Source organism: Homo sapiens, chromosome 13 (assembly GCF_000001405.40).
Source record: "Homo sapiens chromosome 13, GRCh38.p14 Primary Assembly".
In the NCBI taxonomy this organism is placed as follows: domain Eukaryota; kingdom Metazoa; phylum Chordata; class Mammalia; order Primates; family Hominidae; genus Homo; species Homo sapiens.
In genome coordinates this window covers 55,171,778-55,194,529 of record NC_000013.11, presented here as the reverse complement: position 1 = coordinate 55,194,529, position 22,752 = coordinate 55,171,778, and the positions used below count along the sequence as shown (strand labels likewise).

General features: G+C 32.9%; 1 long non-coding RNA gene and 1 other non-coding gene across 2 annotated transcripts in view; both read right to left on the bottom strand.

The window, feature by feature from the left end:
• Nucleotides 1-11,793: 11,793 nt before the first annotated feature.
• The window catches only part of LINC02335 (long intergenic non-protein coding RNA 2335), a 128,930-nt gene continuing 117,971 nt past the window's right edge, over nt 11,794-22,752 (bottom strand). The window contains exon 5 of the long non-coding RNA NR_186625.1: nt 11,794-15,526. This is a non-coding gene — a long non-coding RNA (long intergenic non-protein coding RNA 2335). The remainder of the gene's footprint in view (nt 15,527-22,752) is intronic.
• MIR5007 (microRNA 5007) lies at nt 19,982-20,076 on the bottom strand. The gene has a single exon (NR_049804.1). It is a non-coding gene; the product is annotated as a microRNA 5007 (primary transcript).

Genomic DNA, 22,752 nt, shown 5'->3' with positions numbered 1-22,752 from the left:
CATGCCTTCCTCAAGGGTATTTGTCCTCCCATTTATAGGGGCTGGGAATCTATTAATGATGTCTGGAGTTTGGCAAAGTACTGTCACCTTATAATAGTGTATAAAATTTGAATTCAGTTTGCCAGATCAAGAATGATTGCATTTATATAAATCAAGTTAGACTTTAGTGTACCATACACAATTTTATTATTTAATATTCCATAAATACTTTTATCTCTAAAAGATACATTTATGAATCAAACCATTTTACTTATCATGGCACTGCCACCAGAGCCACTTCTGTCCTGGGAACTTAACCATCCTTCAACAGAGAATATTTGTTATTATTCTGTTTCCCTTTCTCACTAACTTCTAAATAAAAATCCATGATTAATATCTGATTGGTGGAGCCAACATCCTAGTTGTAAAGAGGTAAAAAAGTAATTTTTTGATAACAGCAATGCACACAAATTAAGAGATTTTCCTGAGATCTTGGATTTACTGTTTATAAGCTCTGTGTCTTGGGAGAGTTAGTTACTCGTTATGCCTTACTTTATTCACCACAAAAATGGAAATAATACTGTACTTACCTAAAAATGTTGTATGGAAGATTCAATTCGTTAATTATCATAAAATTCTTAGACAAGTGCCGACAAGAAGAGCTAAATTAGTATTAGTTTCTTAACAAGATTATCATTATCATAAAGTTATGATTTTGATCATCAATGTCATGAATATTTGACATGTTCAACCTATTTATGGGACACAAGTTCTGCCTTCTAGCAATATTTGTAAAATCAGAAGTTTCCAAATTTAGAAGTGCAATTTAATTAAGGGAAGTCAAAAAGAATAACAGCATTATATAAAATTGTTCCCAACTCATAACCTGTTAATCAAATTTTTATTAATTCCTTTTATCCTACAAATCAGAAGAAAATTTACCCACCTTTCAATTCTAAATTAGAACCATCAAGTTGAATTTTTGTATCTGGAGCTATTGATCATCTCTGGGTACTCACTTTGCCCATAGAGTTAAAATTCCAGTTTTAGGAGACTTTCATGTCATTGTATTATTCTATCATGTAAGACAAACCTCATTAATTATGTTATTTTATTATACCATCCTCCATTCTGTCTGGGTGGGATATTATTACCCACAAATAAATGGTGGTTTGAAAAATTATTGTGAGCAAAATCTTTATTATTATTATTATTATTTTGGGTAGAGATTAGGTCTGGCAATGTTTCCCAGGTTGGTCTTGAACTCCTGGCCTCAAGGGATCCGCCTGCCTCAGCCTCCTAAAGTGCTCCAATTACAGGCATGAATCACAGCACCTGGCCCAAAATACTTGCTTGAAAAGTGAGTGATTATACCAGATATCCTGGGAAAATGGCTTAGTCCAGTCTGAGAGAGGGTAGGTGCAGAAGACCCTGACATACATATCTTGTTATGACAGAAAACGAAAAAGTGATCAAAAATATAATTCAAGCATGTCACAAAGACCACGAAACCAAACCTCATCATAATTTGTAAAAGTGTCTGGAACTTGAGGATATTTAGGAAAATAATACGAGAAAATGGATTGAAGCCCACCTAAGAGTACAGCATCTTATATGCATTAATCTGCTAATGGTGTATATAATTTATTTCATCTTTACTTTGAAAAAGTAAAGTGAGCAGAGTGGAGAGGGTTGTGTGAGCGAGCGAGCAAGCATGGAGTCCTGCCACTGCGCACAGCCAAACGTGCCAACAATGTGCAAACTCCACACAAGCAGTGACCACAGATAGAGGTTGATTTTTTTCATCAACACTATAAGAAAACAATGTTATTCAAGGACCTGCTGTACCTGTATTAAAAGTGAGATTTTCTCCTCATGAAAACACTAGAAATGATAGTGCTTAATAGTTTTTTTCTGTGTGTTAAATGTCTGTTGTTTTTCGGTGTTACCATTAGAGACCAGAAGATTTACTCAACACATCATTCTCCTATGAAACAATAGATAGAATTGGAAGAAATAACAGTCAATACTTTTCATTAGAAAAAGGTCACATGCAAAGTAAGTATACACCTTGCCACTTTGAAATATATTTTGGATTGAGGGACAGATCATTTGCATGTACCCCATTAAAGTTCAGGTTTTCAGGGTTGTGTTTTTTTTTTTTTTTGAGCACAGGAGTAAGAAAAAGGGAATTTGCTTTAGGGGCATGAAACTAAAATATCAGAATGATAGGACTAAAATCAACAGAGTTTAGACTTCAGTAGTCAGAATAAAATACTTCTGAAATATTCCAGATATCGTATAAAACCACAGATAAATATGCAAAGAAGTCATTAAGCATATTTTATTATAATTAATGAATATGACTTTTAAAGCTATATGTATTCTCCATGTTAAAAACTTCCTTAGTGAATAAGCCCAGGGCTGCCCATAAATACACAATGCAAATGTTGGATCATCTCAATGGAGAATTAAATACCATATTTTATTAAATGAAAAGAATACAATACTGAGTACCCTAATGGTGGATTTCCCTACCGAAATTGGTTGACAAATCTTCAGTGGTGATGATTATAATAAAAATTAAAAATCATTGCTGATTTTATCTGTTATATCATTGTGGAGACCTATAGTTGTATTAATCATATTTAAACTTCAAAATTTTAATTTATTGATTATCAGTACAAAACCATAAAATATTTGTTGAAATTATTAAGAGCTAACTAGCTCATGTGAGTTTTGCTAAACAAAAATCATTTTAAATCATTGCATTATTTTTTTTAATGAGATACATGGCAAGTTCCCAGTCTTTCATGCATTAACATAACAAATGAGTTTCTTTGTAATTAAGTCCTTAAAAAAATCCAAAGATGTATTACTTTATGACTTCACATCTAATTTCTCTTATTTGTTGGTAGTAGGCAAGGTGTCTGGCTGGCTCTCTTATGTGAATGGTTGAACATTTGTTGTAAAGGATGGAATACAGTATGCTGTAGGAATTACGTAAAAAATCCTCAGTGAAGGGAAAAAGGCTCTGGAACCTTGGATGTCAGTTCCACGAGAGATAAATTTATAGTTTTAACAATCTGTCTTTTATAACTGACATATAAGGTCCCAGAGGTCTTTTTTCCTATCACTAATAATTTTTCATGCATTTCCTACAATATGAAAAAACTATGTGTAACATTTAGATATTATAGCTGCACATTAAATGGAATCTTGTTAAGTCTGCTTTAGGTTCATACTCAAAAATCAATTTTAGTATTAGATTAAAATTTTGCTTTTAATAAAAATAAGACTTCTTAACCATTGCAATAAATATATGTTAAAATTAGGCTTGCTCAGCAATTTAATATTTCACCAGTAACCAGTAACAAAGCAGCTCTCTGCTTTTGTGGTATAGTAGGCATCAAATGAGGTATGTTATCTTTGGGACTCATTTTTAAACGTGTGGTTATAGCTCTCAGAACTGCAGCAGAAATGCAAATGACGTGGACTAGTGGACTGAAGTGCTAAACAAGTTCTTCAAAGTGACATTTACCATGTACTGTCTAAGGCACTGATAGAAAATAATAACTGTGTCTCAATGAGGCTAAAATATTGGACAGTACAGTGCTAGAAAATTATCCTAAAGCTGCCTGAAATCATATAAAAATATTGATCAATCAATGGGGCCATTTAGGCACAGGGGCCCATTCCATCTATACAGTAATAATTTCTTTTTAATGATTCATTTCTACCTTTGACCAAAATGGTACTAGTTTGTCAGATTTAAGCACAGGAATGTAACAATATGGATTTCTCTGGTCCATGAGCGTGGTATATATAACTTAATTTATTATTATGCTTGCTTTTGTTTTTGTAGCAACGTTTTGTAATTTTCGTTGTACTGAGTATGCATATTTAGTTATCACTAAATATTTTATACTTTGAATGCTGTTAAGTTTATTTTTAAATTTAAATTTTATATTTTATTGCTAGTATATTAAAGTACAATATCTTAGTAGTGTTGGTTAGTTAAAGGTATATACTTTTTATATTTCATTGAACTCTGAACTTAAAATAGGGAATTTTATCATATGTAAATCGTGTCAATAAATTTGATTCAAGACTAATTTTAGTAATCTACTGCACAGGCTTTTAGAGATAAATAAGTGAATTAATGCATGTAACATGCTTATCACAGTCCTTAACAAAAATATAGACTTGAAAACAATTATCTATTATTATTTTTGAATTCTGTATTTAGATAGATTTTATTTTACTGTAATTTTTTTTGTAATACATGTACTTGGGAATTCAAGCAATATAATTTTTTATGCAAACATAACATCTTGCTGGACAGTTCTTAATATCTTAACTCTTTTCATATAGAATCTGTGTAAAGACAGGGGATGTTGCTGGCTTATGTTTTTCAGTATGAACCCTTGGAAATTATTGTTGGTTGAATCCTTTTAGCTTTCTTGCTCACACCTCTTTCTTGCTTCCCAGAATTGAGCCACAATTCACTTCTAACTTGATAATAGTCATGTTAAGAAAAATATTATTTGTGTGCTTAGCTCACTTTTCTTTTCCTCAAAGTTATTTGCTAATACAAAACACCTCTTAGAGCAGGATGACTATTTAGTGTTGGACACAAGTTTTGTTCCCTTCATGAACTTCATCATTTATTATTACATCAACTATCTCTTCTTTCATCCACCATATACTTGGCATTATAATTCAAACACCTCTAAAAGTGTATTTATATGCAGTGTTAATTATAATAATAAATAGGAGCAACAGTAATCATTATATATAATGTGCAAAATTTCAGGCAGTTTTAAGTGTTTTACATATATGTAATATTTATTATACACAATAATTAGGAAGTGAGTGCTAATTTTACTCCTATTTGCAAATGAATTTGTAGAACACAGTAATTAAAGTACTTTTCTAATGTTTTATAATTTTTAATTATCTTCAAACCAAGGGAGTTTGAGTCCAGCAGCTAGGATCTGAAACATTATATTCTACTACTCAAAATTCCATTCGTTAATAAAATGAGTAAATTAGTTACAATGAATTATGGAACTTAAATTTTCCATGGTTAAATTCATTCATTTTTTATCCACTAGTGAAAACATAATGATAAGCATGGCCTTGGGCTCAGATATTCACTGATGAAATATATATCTTATCACTGCTAAAAATGGAATCGGGTACCAGATCATTAATGTGAATCAGATCAGTTATGTGAATCTTCCTAGCTTATAAGACTGGAACCTGACAGCATGAATATGAGAAATGGAACAAAGATCAGTTACTCAGCACTTGATTCAGTCCTCATTGTGGATGAATGCTTTGGTGTGAGCCAAGTGAATTCCTCTTAAGCTCACATGTGATTTCCACTTATGGTGATGAAATCCAGTTAAATTGAATATGCTACATTTAAACTAGTTAAAAAGATGCAGGTATGTTATCCCTTTTCTATAAGGCATTTGATTAGTGACCAATTTGAGCTCAGTTTTATTATCTTCTTTATTCACAAAATGAGCTTATCTACAGTTTTTAAAAAGCAGTGGGGGAAAGGCTCTGATTCTGTCATCAAATCCTGGGCTGTCCAATTTTTTTTTTTTTTTTTGATAATTAGATAATGCTGTTTCAGAGGTTTCTACAAGTAAGGCTACTGGAAACAGCTTGCAGCAATAGAAGTATACTGTAGTAAATACTGACTTTACGTTTATTCTTAATTTTAATTTTGTTGATAAGGACCACTAAAAACTGACAAGGAAGGATATTTTGGTTTCGTTCAGTTATTTTAAAATTTCAGTGCCCCTTGTAACCTGGTACATAATAGAGAATACCTCTAATGATTGGAGCAAATTTACAGAAACAAAGTAAAATTCAAATAGATGGATTCCATTATTTGGAACTTTAAATCATAAAATAAATCATATTTTGAAGAATAACAGTTATACTAACACAAAGCCACTAAGAGTATGACTTAAGAGAAAAGTTAAGAAAGCCTATAAGTACGCCTGAAAATGTTAACATCAGAAATCAAAATAAGTAAATATCGCTTTGTTAAATATTTTCCAATTAATGAAACAGAACAGAGAAAAAAATAGAAAATTGTTACTTTTAAGATATCTATGCCATAAAACAGAAAGGTAAATATGATGCCATTGTAATTCTACTTGAATTATTGCTAAATTTATTTACGCTCTTTATTATTTTAACCTGAAAGAAGCCCTTGATGTCATAGCAACCATTTTAAGTTGCCTACTTTTAGCCCTTTTCTTCAGTCTCAAATAAAAATTTGGGAGTCATCCAATCTTAGCCCTTAATTGGGACTTTAATTGGGCCTTTGGTGCCCTAATTATGATAAAGTAATTATAGCAATTATAGATAAATTAGAGTAATAATCAGTAATTATAAATTAAGTCAATCCGAAGTACATTTGAAATATACTTACAAATGGCTCTTTAAAGTGATATTACCACCTCGAACATCATGTTGTATTATGATTTGTATCTCTCATGCCTGGGTTAGACTTTCAAGAAATTAAAGTTTTATAGATACATATATATATATATATATATATATATATATATATATATATATACACACACACACACACACACATATTTCACTTAATTCTTAATCCATTCTCCATTCTATTAAAGAAAAGTAATACATGTTTGCCTTTTGTGGAATAAAGATATTTTTTCCTAAATTATGTAAACAATTCTCATAAATTACATGGGAGTAAATAGTGATAAGTACATTTGCATTGTTACAAGTATTGAAATGCATGCACAGTTCTGACAAAAAATATTTTGGAAGTAATTTTAATATATTTTAAAATATTAAATTTATAATCATAACATTTTTAAGAATTTTTACCATACAAGTTATTTTGAGCCATAAGTATGATAACATTAATTAATTAAGAAGAGACAGGTCTGAAGTCAGGTGATTTCCATGCATCTAATACCTCATTTAATCTCACAACAAATCTACTGGAGATGGGATGACATTAATGGAGCTGATATTATGCCCGTTTCAAAGATGATTAAACTTATGCTACAAATGCTTAAATAGCTAGCTCACTGTCTATCCCACAGCTAAAACAATAAATGGCACAGTTGGGATGTAAGCAGAGATAGATTTAATTCCAAAACTGATCATCTTTTCAAAATACCATACTATTACTTTTATAGGTGAATTACTAAAAGGAAAAATGAATGCTTCCTCTAATTAGTTTGAATTTCTAGATATTTCTGAAAATAAAAAATACATTTTCTTCCTTACCACTGCTTATTTAAAATGATGAAAATATTTATAGTTTATTCAACCTTTAAAATGATTGCCTCTGTTTTAATTCATCTTTTAGGGATGTCTCACTTATTTTTTAGCTTTTAACTACCAGTGTTTGTTCCTTTCGTTTTCCCCCATATGCTCCTTCTCCTAATTATATTTCTAATGAACTAGAACGCAGTTAGTTTACATTCTATTTAACTAAATCTGTGTGTGCTGAATAAATGCAACTAAAACAGAGGCAATCCATTTATTACAATTGTCTTGACTAGAACTTTGACAAAAATAATTAACTAACATATATTCTGGTTCATCATTTTAGACTAGATTTAGTTTCTATCTGGAAAGTATTGTTAGGGAAATAGTTATTGAACTCTCAGATAACTATCAAACCCTGGCTTAGCTATTTGCAACTGTATGTAATAGTACTGCAATTTTCTCTTCTGAAAAATATTTCGTATTTGCTGAGAGTAAAAATAAAGAATAATGTAAACACTACCTAACTATGCTAGGCACATAGATGGAAGGAATGCTAAAAGAATGGTAGGGATAATTATGGAATGGCTCTACTGAAGTAGTGATGAGAATGTAGGCTAGTAATTATTTATAGCCATGAAATCCACTCCCAGTGCATCTAAACTGGATACTTATATTTATATTACCAAGCTTGATAATACTATGATTTAATTGAGCTTCAGAGAAACCACTTCTTTCAAAACTTGTTTCAAGATCATATGTCAGAGTAAAGGGCAATTGATTTCATTTAAAATAATTAAATATACCAACAAGAATAAGTGGTTTTTTATTAGACTCACTCTTGACATTTTAACTGAAGATATTAAAAGTACCTGAAAATGTCAAAGATTAATTTCAACATGAGTTTTAAAAAGAAAGCTTACATTTCATATTTTATATTGACCTATTTTCAAGCTTACAAATAATTTCTTCAGGTTCGTCTTAGATACTGATGAGCACATCAAAGGCAATCAATCTTTATTTATCTAACTGTTCTACTGATTTCCATCATTTTTCATTCTTTTTCTTAATTTTCATACCTCTGCTAAAATTATCTGATCTTGCATTTTGTCTATCTTTTCCATTATAATCTCTAACACATTAATCATGGTTATTTCAAATCTCTTGTCTGATATTTTTAACATCAGTGTCATATTTGAGTCTGGTTATGATTGTCTTTTCAGACTGCTTTTTTTCTTTTTTATTAATTGTATTTTTTTATGAATGCTAGAAATGCTGAATAGGATATGTAAAACCAAAAGTTTATTTGTTTGTTTTAAACCCTTAAAGGTAACCCTTTCCTTCTACTGGGTCTTTAGTTTGTAGGTTTGTATTAACCTTGTCAGAAATTGAGCTTCAGTGTTTAAGATGTTGTTGCTATTATTGACATATTCGAAATTTGCTTTTGCTATGGACATTAGAGACTTCAAATTTTCTAGTGATACCTTGTTTTTATCAGCCCCATTTGGCTTTGGATCTCACTTTGTGATGGTCTCCAGGGAGAGGATGCCTTTTATAACTCTTCCAATTGTACTCTATCATTATTTTTACTCAATGCATATTCATGTGATAGGGGAAAGTGAGAAAGGGGGCAACTATTTTTGATCTTTAAGTCGACTCAGTCTAACCCATGCACTATAAGCCTAGGTTTTAGAAGTTAACTTCACAAATATTTCTTCCAAATCTTCAGACATAATTCAGGGCCTAACCTATATGCTTGTCCTTCCCCCAATGTGTACTGTCTAAATTTTTTTTCTTCTCCTTCCTCCCTTAGCTCTAGTTGCTTTCCACCAGTGCCCTCCAACTACCACTTGAATACACTTTCCCTTGCAGAATAATGCTTTTTTTCCTTTGAGATTGGTAGAGGAGATGAATCTTAATGGTGGTAGTCCCTGTTCTACTCCAGGAATTACAATGGGATTACACCCATGACTTCACAGTACAAGTTTGGATAACTTTAAAAAAATTGTCTGTAAGTTATTGGGGTACAGGTGGTATTTGGTTACGTGAGTTAGTTCATTAGTGGTGATTTGTGAGATTTCTGTGCAATTATCACCAGAGCAGTATACACTGCACCAGATTTGTAGTCTTTTATCCCTTGCTCCCTCCTGTTCCTCCCCGCAAGTCCCCCAAATCTATTGTATGATGCTTATGCCTTTGCATCCTCATAGCTTAGCTTCCACCTATCAGTGGGAACATATGATGTTTGGTTTTCCACTCCTGAATTACTTCACTTAGAATAATAGTCTTCAATCTCATCCACATAACTGCAAATGCTGTTAATTCATTCCTTTCTATGGCTGCACAGTATTTCATCATATATATGATATATACATATTTATATATGTATGTATATCATATATATGTATGTACATCATATAGGTATGTATGTATACCTATACATACACATATACCTATACATATAGGTGTGTGTGTGTGTGTGTGTGTGTGTGTGTGTGTATATATATATATATATATATATATATATATATATATATATATATCACAGTTTCTTTATCCTCTCATTGATTGATGGGCATTTGGGTTGGTTCCACAATTTTGCTATTGTGAATTGTGCCGCCATAAACACGTGTGTGCAAATATCTTTTTCAAATAATGACTTCTTTTCCTCTGAGTGGATACCCAGTAGTGTGATTGCTGGATCAAATGGTAGTTCTACTTTTAGTTCTGTAAGGAATAGCCACACTGTTTTCCATAGTGGTTGTACTAGTTTACATTTCCACCGCAGTGTAGAAAGGTTCTGATGACCGTATCCACGCCACCATCACTGTTTTTTGCTTTTTCGATTATGGCCATTTTTGCAAGAGTAAGGTGGTATTGCATCGTGGCTTCTATTTGCATTTCACTAAAAATATCACTTTACCATCATCCTGTCCAATTTGCTTTATTTTAATTATGTACTTCAATTTACTAATGCATTATTTACATGAGGTTTTGTAATTTCCAAATGTATTTTTAAATCATTACTTTCTAACCCAGTTACAACATAGACTCAATAACAGTAATCATTTGAAATTTGTTAGGCTCAGTTTTACGACTTAGCATATGGACTCATTTCTATAAATATTCTATATGTGCCTGAAAATGTATAAGTATGTTCTCTAATTGTTTGATGATACATGTTTCAGAGATCAAATTTGTTAATTAGATTCCTTAAAACTGCTATATAGATTTTTTCTTGTTTTTGTTTTGAGCATCAATCAATATAATATGGAAGTGTTTTAAATGTTTTTTTTTTGCTGTATTTGTCAATTTCTCATATAAAAGAGCTACAAATTTGCTTTTCATATTTAAGGGTATTTCTTACTCATATATTTATAATGTTTATATATTCCTTGTAAATTGAGTTTTTCATGTTGTTACATTCTTTAGTTCTATATTTTTCTTTTAAAATTTACCTGCTTGAAATTGTGTATCAGTTTTATTTGCTTAAATTTGCTGGGTAAAACTAATTTGTATTTTATAATTTCAACATAACTCAGTCTTTTTAACTTAGATGTGTCCTTTTTTCAGCAAAATATAACTAGATTTTGTACTTTGTTTACACTAAACATTTATATGATTTGAAAGGAGAGTTCTTAATTCAATTTGTTTTTCAGTCTTATGCTTTCTATTTACCACTCTTTAAAATCATATATATTTTCTTCTTTTCTGGGTCTTATTTGTTTTGGGTTTCTTGCTTCTTTTTCTTATTTTGTTTGTCTTCAATTTCTTTTGAGGTTATATTAATTATTGTTTTGTGTGTGTGTGTGTGTTTTTTTTTTTGTTGTTGTTTGTTTTTTTTTTTTTTTGATACGGAGCCTCTCTCTGTTGCCAGGCTGGAGTGCAGTGGCATGATCTCGACTTACTGCAACCTCTGCCTTCCAGGTTCAAGTGATTCTCCTGCCTCAGCATCCCAAGTAGCTGGGATTACAGGCATGTGCCACCATGCCCAGCTAATTTTTCTATTTTTTTTAGTATAGACAGGGATTCACCATGTTGGCCAGGGTGGTCTCAATCTCTTGACCTCGTGATCCACCCTCCTCGGCCTCCTAAAGTGCTGGGATTACAGGCATGAGCCACTGTGCCCGGCCATATTAATTTTTTTTAGTGATTAACATACCTATATAAATATGCATATTCAACCATATCTAAAGTTATTCAAAATCTTTATCTTATCCTAAAATGTACACAGATGTTAGAACATTTAAACTCCAATAAACTATTTTGCAACTCATGTGCCCTTTTGTCCCAGTATTTTAGTTCTATCTTGTTTTTCTTCAAAAATTAGAATTCTATGGAATCAACATTTATCTTATTTCATGAAACTATTTTATAATGTCTTCACTTAATATTAAATTTTTACCTTTAGATTTCCACTGACAACTATTTTTCTCTTATGTAAAGCACACCTTTTAAAAGCTAGTTTACTGGAGACTCTATTAGAAATATGTCCTATGTTTCTACTAACTTCTGAAAATACTATAGGTGGGAAAATTTTTTTTTTTTTTTTTGAAATGAAGTATTGCTTTGTCATCCAGGCTGGAGTGCAGTGGTGCAATCTCTGCTCACTGTAACCTCCGCCTCCCGGGTTCAAGCAATTCTCCTGCCTCAGCCTCCCAGGTACCTGGAACTACAGGCACATATCACTACAGGGGGCTATTTATTGTATTTTTAGTAAACAGTGTTCATCATGTTGGCCAGGCTGGTCTTGAACTCCTGACCTCAAATGATCTGCTTGCCTTGGCCTCCCAAAGTGCTGAGACCACAGGCGTGAACCACTGCACCAGACCAGATAGGATAATTTAGCCCTCTATAAAATTGAAAATTGGAGACCATTTTCTCTTAGAACTTCAAACATTATTTTTTGTCTTCTGGCCTCTATTGTGCTATTAAAAAATGTGTTATAATTTTAATTGTAAACCCATTGTAGATCATTGTTCCCACTTTAACTGATTTTAATATCTTATTCTCTTTATAGTATTTAGTTTCAATGATGTATCTATATTTTAAACAACTTATAGGATATTTGCTTATCCTATAAGTTTTGATAAAATTCTTAGGTCTATGACATCTTTGAATAATCTTGTCAAATTCTTATCTATTATCTCATTAGATATTTCTGCTTTCCCATTCTTACTTTTGTTTGTATACAACTTCAATAAATTATATATTACATCTTCCCATTCTAACTTTCATTTCACCATCTCTTTTTCATATTATTATTCATATTGTCTTCTCTTTTTTTCCTCTCTCTGAGTGGCATAAAAGATAATTTCTTCAGATCTCGACATCATCCCCCCTTCAGCTTTAGCCCACCAGTTTCCTAGTTACCATTGTCCCTTTTCTTATGTATATTCCAATCCCTCAATTACATGCTTTTAACAACATAGAATGTTATTACACGTTTTAATTTCGACTGTATGATCCACCAATTGAATGATTATCGAATCATTATATTTTCTTTTCTAAATTGGGTTTCTTCCCCCAAAGTATTTTACCACTTTTCATGTAGAATTCTCTTCTTAGCTTATATTATGTTCTGTTATCTTTATATGTATTAAATATATGTACTTTGTACTCTATATCTGATTATTTTAGTGTCTAACAATTTTGACTCAACTTATTGCCTTTTTTTTTGCCCTGACCTTCATTTTTGGTACATTATTCTACATGGTTTATGATTTTGTTTTTTATTTTACATAACTTGTTTTCTTGGAATTTTTGGAATTACTGTGATACAAGAGTTAAGTTACATTCTTTCAGAGAGGATTTGTCTTTGTAGCCATTAGTTATTCAAGAGTATTGCTTTAGAGAACTGCAATTAAATTTTCACCTTGAAAATAATTGTATTTTTATAAGTTTGGGTTTATTTAGATTTTTCTGGGTATGTACATTTTTTTCTACAAAGTCTAGAAATTTTGGACTACAAAAATCATATATGGTCCACTAGGTATTACACATCTCAAGGTGAATGTATTTCTTTTCTCCCCCTTCTCAGTACTAAAAAGTCAAATACATAGGTTTTGTTATGTCTTCTCTTTGAAAAATAGTTTATTTTTTGCCCACTTTTATTTTGTAGACCATATTGATTACAGCACTGTGTGTGTGTGTATGTATCTGTGTGTGTGTGTGTGTGTGTGTGTGTGTGTGTGTGTGTATGTGTTGTGGGTGTAAGGGTGAGGGGCTATATCGTTTGTTAAATTTCATCTTGGAAAGAATCTAGGTTTTGTCTCTGTCCATTGCACCGCAGGTGGCCATCATGCCACAACCTTATGTTTTCCCATAATTTCTCCTTTAACTTTCTCTTTGTATTCTATCAAATCTTTACTTTTGTGACCTCTCAGCAGTTAACCTGAAGAAGTTTAATTTTTACTGATGGCAGCTATGGTGAGACATGCAGTTTTATACAGTATTATCAACAGAAGTAATAAATGAGGTTTTAAAATTACAAAACAAGCATTTTAAAACTGAAAATGTTAATATTAGGGAATTCTTAAAAGAACAAAATTACTTTGGTGGAACAACCTAACTTCAAAGTGCAAGTCAGATTAGAAAGTTATTTGTAAGGAAGCAAAAATATCCCACTGTCACTGCCTTATTTACACTTCATTTTTCTCCAATTTTAGTGAGGTATAATTGACAAAAACGGTTTATATTCAAGGTGTACAACATGATGATTTGATGTATGTATACAATGTATACATTGTGAAATGATTATCCCAAACAAATTAATTAACATATCCAACACCACACACAGTTACTATTTTTGTATGTGTGTATGTCTATGGTGAAGACATGTGAGATCTACTCTCTTAGCATATTTTAAGTAACAGTATTCTTAACTATATTCACCATGCTACACATTAGGTCTTCAGAACTTATTCATTTTATAACTGAAAGTTTATAGCCTTCAACAAACATTTCCCCATTTCTCCGACCTCCAGTTCCCGACAACAACCATTCCACACTGCTTTTATAAGTTGCACATTTTTAGATTTCACATATAAGTGAGGTCATACAGTATGATGAACTTGAGATACACTATGCTAAGTGGAATAAGCCAGGCATAGAAAGACAAATATTATTTTCCAATGAGATGACCTAGTGAAAAGACTTAAAAATGTTTTCTACTTTAATAATATATTTAGTTGTCAAATGAAATTACCTATACCTATTGTGTACAGACTGTTTTGAAAGATGTGTAAAATGGCTAAATCAAGCTAATAAACATATACATTACCTCACACACTTATCCTTTTTTTGTGGTGAGAACACAAAATCTACTCTCAGCAATTTTCAAGAATATGTTTTCCACTTTTAGGAGATTTAATTGCTGAAGGTAATGGCTCTGAAAAGAGAGTATATTTTTATTGCCAGGGATGTTACTTCCATAGCAGAATCTGTTCATCATAGTAGTGCAAGTCCTGAGGGATTGTGTTAATGGACCATGCTGCCACCAATAAACACCTTGTTGAATTGGTAGTTATTTCAGGAAAAAAGGGAAGTTACTCTGAACCTTTTACAGACTGGATATTTTAAATGTACTGTGAAATGAAGGACACACAAGCTTAAAAGTAATTATTCTCATTATGCACACTTTTATGACTCAAGATAGTGAGATAGCAAGAAAAATATGTGTAAAATAGATAAGCATGCAAAGTGTACCAAGAATGAGATTCTCAATGAGAATAGATAACACATTGTATTAGTCTGTTCTCACATTGCCAATACAGACGTACCTGAGACTGGGTAATTTATAAGGGAAAGAGGTTTGACTCACAGTTCAGCATGGCTGGGAGGCCTCAAGAAACTTACAATTACAGCAGAAGGGGAAGCAAACATGTCCTTCTTCACATGGTGGCAGGAAGAAGAAGGGCAGAGCCTAAAGGGGAAAAGCCCTTAAGAAAACCATCCACTCTCATGAGAACTCACTATCACAAGAACAGTATGAGGGTAACTTCCCCCATGATTCAATTACCTCCCACTGGGTCCCTCCATGATATATGGGGATTATGAGAAGTACAAGTCAAGATGAAATTTGGGTGGAGACACAGCCAAACCCTATCATTCAACCTTTGGCCCCTCCCAAATTTCATGTTCTCACATTTTAAAACACAATCATAACCTTTCAACAGTCCCCCAAAGTCTTACCTCATTCCAGCATTAACTCAAAAGTCCAAGTCCAAAGTCTCATCTGAGACAAGGCAAATCTCTTCTGCCTATAAGCCTGTAAAATCAAAAGCAAGTTAGTTACTTCCTAGATACAATGGGGATACAGGCATTCCAATTGGGAGAAACTGGTCAAAACCAAGAATCTACAGGCCCCATGCAAGTCTGAAATCCAATAGGGCAGTCATTAAATCTTAAAGTTCCAAAATGATCGCCTATGACTGCATGTCTCAAATCCAAGGCATGCTGATGCAAGAAGTGGGCTCCCATGGCCTTGGGTGGCTCTGCCCCTATGGCATTGCAGGGCACATCTCTGCTACTGGCTGCTTTCACAGGCTGGTGTTGAGTGTCTGCAGCTTTTCCAGGTGCACAGTGTAAGCTGTCAGTGGATCTACTATTCTGGGGTCTGCAGGATGGTGGCCCTCTTCTCACAGCTCCACTAAGCAGTGCCCCAGTGGGGACCCTGTGTTGAGGTTCTGACCTTATATATATCCTTCTGCACTGCCCTAGCAGAGATTCTCCATGAGGGCTCTACCCCTGCAGCAAACTTTTGCCTGGACATCCAGGTGTTTCCATACATCCTCTGAAATCCAGGTGGATGTTCCCAAACATTAATTCTTGACTTCTGTGCACCAGTAGGCTCAACATCACATGGAAACCACGAAGGCTTGGGGCTTGCACCCTCTGAAGCAATGGCTTGAGTTGTATCTTGGCCCGATTTAGCCACAGCTGGAGCTAAAGCAGCTGGGATGCAGGACACTATGTCCCGAGGCTGCACAGAGCAGGGGTCCTGGACCCAGACCACAGAACCATTTTTTTCTCCTAGGCCTCTAAGCCTGTGATGGGAGGTGCTGCCAGGAAGGGTCTCTGATATGCCCTGGAGACATTTTCACCATTGTCTTGGTGATTTACATTTGGCTCCCTGTTATTTATGCAAATTTCTGAAGCAGTCTTGAATTTCTTCCCAGAAAATGAGTTTTTCTTATCTGTTGCATCATCAGGTGGCAAATTTTCCAAACTTTTATGGTCTGCTTCCTCTTGAATGCTTTGCTGCTTAAAATTTATTCCAACAGATACCCTAAATCATCTCTCTCAAGTTTAAAGTTTTGCAGACCTGTAGGGCAGAGGCAAACTGCCACCAGTATCTTTGCTAGAATATAGCAAGGTAGCCTTTACTTCAGTTCCCAACAAGTTTGTCATCTCCATCTGAAACCCCTTAAACCTAGACTTCATTGTCTTTATCACTATCAGCATTTTGGTCAAAGCCATTCAACAAGTCTCTAGGAAGTTCCAAACTTTCCCACATCTTCCTGTCTTCTGAGACCTCCATGTCTCTTGGACATTCCAAATTTTCCCACATTTTCTTGTCTTCTTCTGATTCCTCCAAACTATTTCAACCTCTGTCTATTGTCCAGTTCCAAAACTGCTTCCACATTTTCAATCATCCTTATAACAGCACCCACTCTCTGTGTTACCAATTTACTATATTAGTCTGTTCTCGTGCTGCTAATAAAGACATACCCAATACTGGGTAATTCATAAAGAAAAGAGGTTTAATTGACTCACAGTTCCACATGGCTTGGGAGGCCTTGGGAAACTTACAATTATGATGGAAGAGGAAGCACACATGTTCTTCATATGATAGCAGGAAGGAGAAGTGCTGAGCCAAAGGGGGAAAAGCCCCTAAGAAAACCATCAGATCTCATGAGAACTTCCTATCATGAGAACAGTATGGGGGTAACTGCCTCCATGATTCAATTACCTAACATTGGGTTCCTCCATGATATGTGGGGATTATGGGAACTACAATTCAAGATGAGATTTGGGTGGGGACACAGTCAAACCATATCACACATTAAGAAAAATTTTAAAGAGTATTGATTATTTTATGATATAAATAGGAACAGAAATATTTTATCAATGAATGAATATTTAATTTAAGCCAATGACTAAGCTGCTCCCTATTATAGATTATATATTATTAAGGAGTGTGGTTTGTCTTTTCCAACTTGTTTCCATCCTGAATGTTTATTATTCAGGAAACTTTAAGACAATGAGAATTTTAATATTAACATTACATCTTTGACACCTGAGGGAAAAATAAGATGTTAACATAAACTAAAGTCTCACAGAAACCACTTTCTGAGTAATTTCATTGCTCTCCATTATGCCATCTTCTCACAAACACTTTTTAAATTAAACAAAAAGAGATAAACATTATTGCCATGTTCTGTTAAATGGGATGTGTTGGTTAATATTGTATAATTTAAGAATTTTCTTACCCTTCAATTATATATTTGATGGTACTGTAAATTAAGACATGGTAGAAGACATTTTCAAATAAACAACTATTTATTATTGAAGGGAAGTGAGAAAACATTTTCAGTTTGATTAAAATTCATTGAGAGTCTAAATGTATAATACATAATTATCAATATACTTACAAATTGTGAAAATATACATTTGAGAATTTGTAACAGTAAAACCAGCCACCTTTTATTAAAGAGACTGAATATGTTAAAAGGCCCAAAGTTAAATTCTTTTTCCTTTTAGGATAGCCCTTACATTAATTTTCTATTTCTACACAACAAATTGTCACAAACTTAGTGACTTAAAACAATACCTATTCATTTTTTCAGTTTCCATAGGTTAGGATTCCAAGTACATGCTCATGTCCAAGAGGCTGCCTGCACTTCCCTGCCATGAAGCCCTTTCTGTAGAAATTTTCACAACCTCTCTGTTTTGTTCTTTAAGGTCAGCAAGAGAAGAGCTATACAACAATTTATTAAAATGAAGTCTTATAAGTGTATTGTAATCTAATCACTGCAGAGATACCCCAGCACGTTTTGTCATATTCCATTAAATGCAAGTTCCAGTTTTGCCCACATTCAAGGGTATGGTATTATACAATAGGTGACTTCCTGGGGGTTACACTAGAGTGTGTCCACCCACAGCTCAGATTGACTCACATATGTTTATATTTGAAAGGTTGCAATACTAAGGTTGTTTCTGGTATCATAGAATACTTAATAGCATTTACTCAGTATGACTCTTTCAATATCCCTTGAGTAAGTTACTAGTGAGTACTATAAATCTCCAAACCACATAACGTAAAGGAGTGCTCAGAATAGTAAATTACACATAGTAAATATGTAATAAATGTAATGTGTCAACATTATTATTATTTGTATGATTACTGATATATGCATTGGGTTTGAAGATCAGTGTGATAAGCCATACTTGAGTTTCAATGGGACCTGCAATAGATGCACTACAACAGAACAAATAATATGATTGGAGTGACAGAAAAATTAACAACCAAAGATAGATCAAAATCTGAGCTTCCTGATGAACTAGAAACATTGTGAATGCTTAGGTTTCTTGTAATTCTGTAGACTCTCAAACAGTGCTTGTTTGTTTAATTAGTTAATGCAGACTTGGTAGGTGGACTGGAAATGTAGTGACAATGAGTAAAAGATGGGTTTTTAGAGAAACATGTAGGCGGCATTGGGTATGTCTTTGGGATATGTCTATAGTAGGTGAAATTTTGCATCTTTTCTACAGACACTAGCGGAACCAGGAGAGAAGATAATTTCCCTATTATAGCTGATGTCAGCTTACTATTATAAGTAGAAAGGCATGACTCAAAGATAGACTAGTAGAAGAGGGGTATCTCATTAATTATGTCCCCAATAGCTATAATCACTCCTACTTAAAATTTTTTATCCTAACATTACTTTTTTTCTAAGAAGAAATGTTGATAGGCTGTGAAAATAAGACGATCACAAGAAAAAAATAACTCAAACCATCAAATTTACTGTCTTATTTAATGTCTAGCAATTCTTGCCATTTTCAGGGATTCTCTCCTACTCTGCCTTTTACATTGAAGAATATTTATTCTACGTTGTTAGTTCTTGGCTACTGAGCTTTTAGTTTTGACCATATTTATTCGTCGAATCATTAGTTATCACTGGGGTAGTAAGACTGGATATTATATAAACAGTGAAGAGACATCCCTAACAAATATGCTTGTAGAACTGGGGATAGTTAATTATCAGCAGGTTACAAGTGAGCTTAGTCTTTGAAGAATAAATGAAGAAACAAAAGTGAAAACATTGAGGAAAGCATTCCAGAAAGATGAATACAAATGTGCAAAACTTTGGAAACATGAAAATGCATGATGTTTTATAAAGAGAATTTTAGAAGAAGCTTTATGTCTGGAAGGTAAATGAGTTTTGAAGATTTGGCAGCCATGTGAGGCTAAAGGGAGAATCTGGGGCCAAAATATTAACAACTTGGGGGAGCTGAAAGTTTGCAAATATAGAAGTGACGAAGATCTACATTTTACAGACATCTCAGGAGATGAATTTAGGGTTGGTTTTAAATGACAAGAGTTCATTTAGAAAGATGGTACAGTAATACAGGTGAAAAAAATAAAAATTTAATTAAAAGAAGCATTCATCAGTATAAGAAAGAGAAGGCTGATTTGGAAGATATTTGAGGGATAATTTTTAACAGAAATTATTGACTAATTAGAGTTTGGTTCATATGATTTAGCTCTGTGTCAAACCATATCAGCCAGACTCTAATTAGTCACCAAGGTTTACCAAATCTCATGTCAAATTGTAATCCCCAGTCTTAGAGAGGGGTGTCCATTGGGAAGTGACTGGATCATGAGGGTAGAGTTCTCAAAAATGGTTAGGCACCACTGCCTCAGTGCCGTTCTCTGATAGTGAGTCAGTTATCACAAAGTCTGGTTGTTTTAAAAGTGTGTGGCACCACTCCCCTCTCTCTCTTCCTTCTGCTTCAGCCATGTGAAGTGCTGACTCCTTGTTTGCCACCCACCATGGTTGTAAATTTCCTAAGGACTCCCTAGAAACCAAGCAGATGCTGTCATACTTCCTACATACAACCTTCACAACCATAAGCCAATTAAATCTCTTTTTTTTAATAAATTACCCAGTCTCAGGCATTTTTTTATAGCAATGTGAGAATGAACTAATACACTGGCTAAAGAAGCAACATTTACCTCAAACTGCACTGCCCAATAAGATATTCTTGAGCCCGATGTGGTTATCCACTTTTACTTTATATTGATTAATAGGTAAATTTAATTCCTGAGCTGGCATGAAGGAATCCTGAGTCTCAGCAACTCAGGAGATTGAGGCAAGAATTTGAGACCCCCATCTCTAAAACAAAAAATTATATCTCAGTAGAAATAGTCAATTTTAAGTACTCAATAGCTTCATGTGGCTTGTGGCTACCATATTGGAAAGCACAAATAAACAAGATTTTCTTCCTTATTGAACGATCTATTGGACAGCAGTAATATAGAGTCAATTCCTGGTATCCTTTGTGTTTATCAGAAGAAACTTATGAAAAAATCCAATTGGGAAATAACATAATGAGATAAGTCATAAATTTATTATGTTTGCATTAAATGTGGGTATACAATTGTTTTCCACCACTCTTCTGCTTTTACCAATAATGCATCAAGAATATCTGTGTTCTTATAGCTTTCTATTGAGATGCAAAATTGTAGGCAAAATTCCTAAGTGATTATTTATTATCTGCAAGAACATGTAATATTTAAAACAAATAATGATTGCAAAGTTCTCCTCTAATTTATATTATCTAGTTAAATGAGAAATCTTATTTCCCATGCAATAGCTTACAAAACTATATAATACAAAAAATAGAGATTTTCCAATCCAATCTCAGTGTAAAATTGCATATTTTACTTCATATGTATCTGACAAGTGATTCTAAATATTATTACATCTTTATAAGCAATTTGTATAGTTTTTTAGGTCTGACTTTATTATATTTTAAGCTTCTTTACTCCATTGGTATTGATTTGTATGGCATTTTTATACATTTAGAATATAAAATTAATCACAAAGTTGTCTTATAAGTTAAAAATCCCATTTCCCCATTATTTATTTCTTCATTTACTTTGTTTATGATGTAAGTGTAGCCCCTTTAAAATGTTGTTAAATATATCAATATTTCCTTTATGATTTGTGGAATATAACTCTTATTTATGTATAAGATCACTCTTGCCTTCTAGTATCTTGATAGTTCTTATGTTAAAGTATGAATATTTGATCTCCCATTTATTTTTCTATAAATTTATTTTAACCTACTAAGTGGTAGAACATTAAAAAATTGTAGCTATATACAATTGTATGAAAAAAAGAAAAGCACTAAGATTTCTTTGTTTTGTTTTTGTTGTTGTTAAGTGGCAAAAAGTGGCTAAAAAATCCCCTAGACTTTGTATGTTTGCATGCAAAGGATAAGCAGTAGAAATCTAATGTTTATAATAAAATATTGGAATGATTCCAAATAAATTAAAGAAAAAGTAAGTAATATTTTTCTCAATACTATACTCAGGCATTACAATAAGTCAAAAACAGAATAATTTAAGTTTATTTTTTTTAAAAAAAGCAAAATATTCATGCTTTTAAATTTGTGGAAGACCTTATAAAAATAATAACCTAAAAGAATTAACTGATACAATGTTGACAATTGGATTAATGTGATTGAAACTTATAGAGAAATTAAAAGATAAACTTGGCTTTAAGCTGTTGGAAAAATACATAGTTTATATGACAGAAATAAAACCAAGAATAGTATGTTAGAAAATTACGGAATCAAGGTTGCTTATATAATCTGTTCCTTAAGAATAAGTATCAATTAATAACTATTAAGGAAATAGAAACTGCATTGGCAATACCAGCATATCCTGAAGAACAAACTGTAAAACAGACTGAAGTGTTTTATTTCTAGTCAACTAGTTGAATGAAACTCCCATAAAGCCGTAGGTGTGAATGGTTGGAAGGGAAGCAATGCAGAAAGAAGCAGTGTCAAAAGACACTCTATCCCCTAGCCCTGCCCAAACTCATTTTCTTACATATCATTTTTACTCAATGATAGATTGGTGCTGCACATATCCAACTTTATTAATAGATGCGTTTGACTTGGAAAATGCAGACTGTATGGTCACCTGATGTCATCTTCAGTTTGTTCTCTTCTAAGGGCTAATAGTAAGTCAGAAGCTAATTCTCAAGAAGTAGGAAATTTACTTTCAGAAGAGAACATTGATTTACTCCAAAATCCTAGAAGTTGTCCTTGTGGTTCTTCTATTAGTGTCTATCAGAATGGCCTATAAAGCATCTCTATTTACCACAGATACTTTGAATATCAATGGATTTACTGAATCATTAGGCCATGGAGAAGAGCATCTTGTACTTTGGCCTGTATTTATTGAAAAGTCACCTCTTA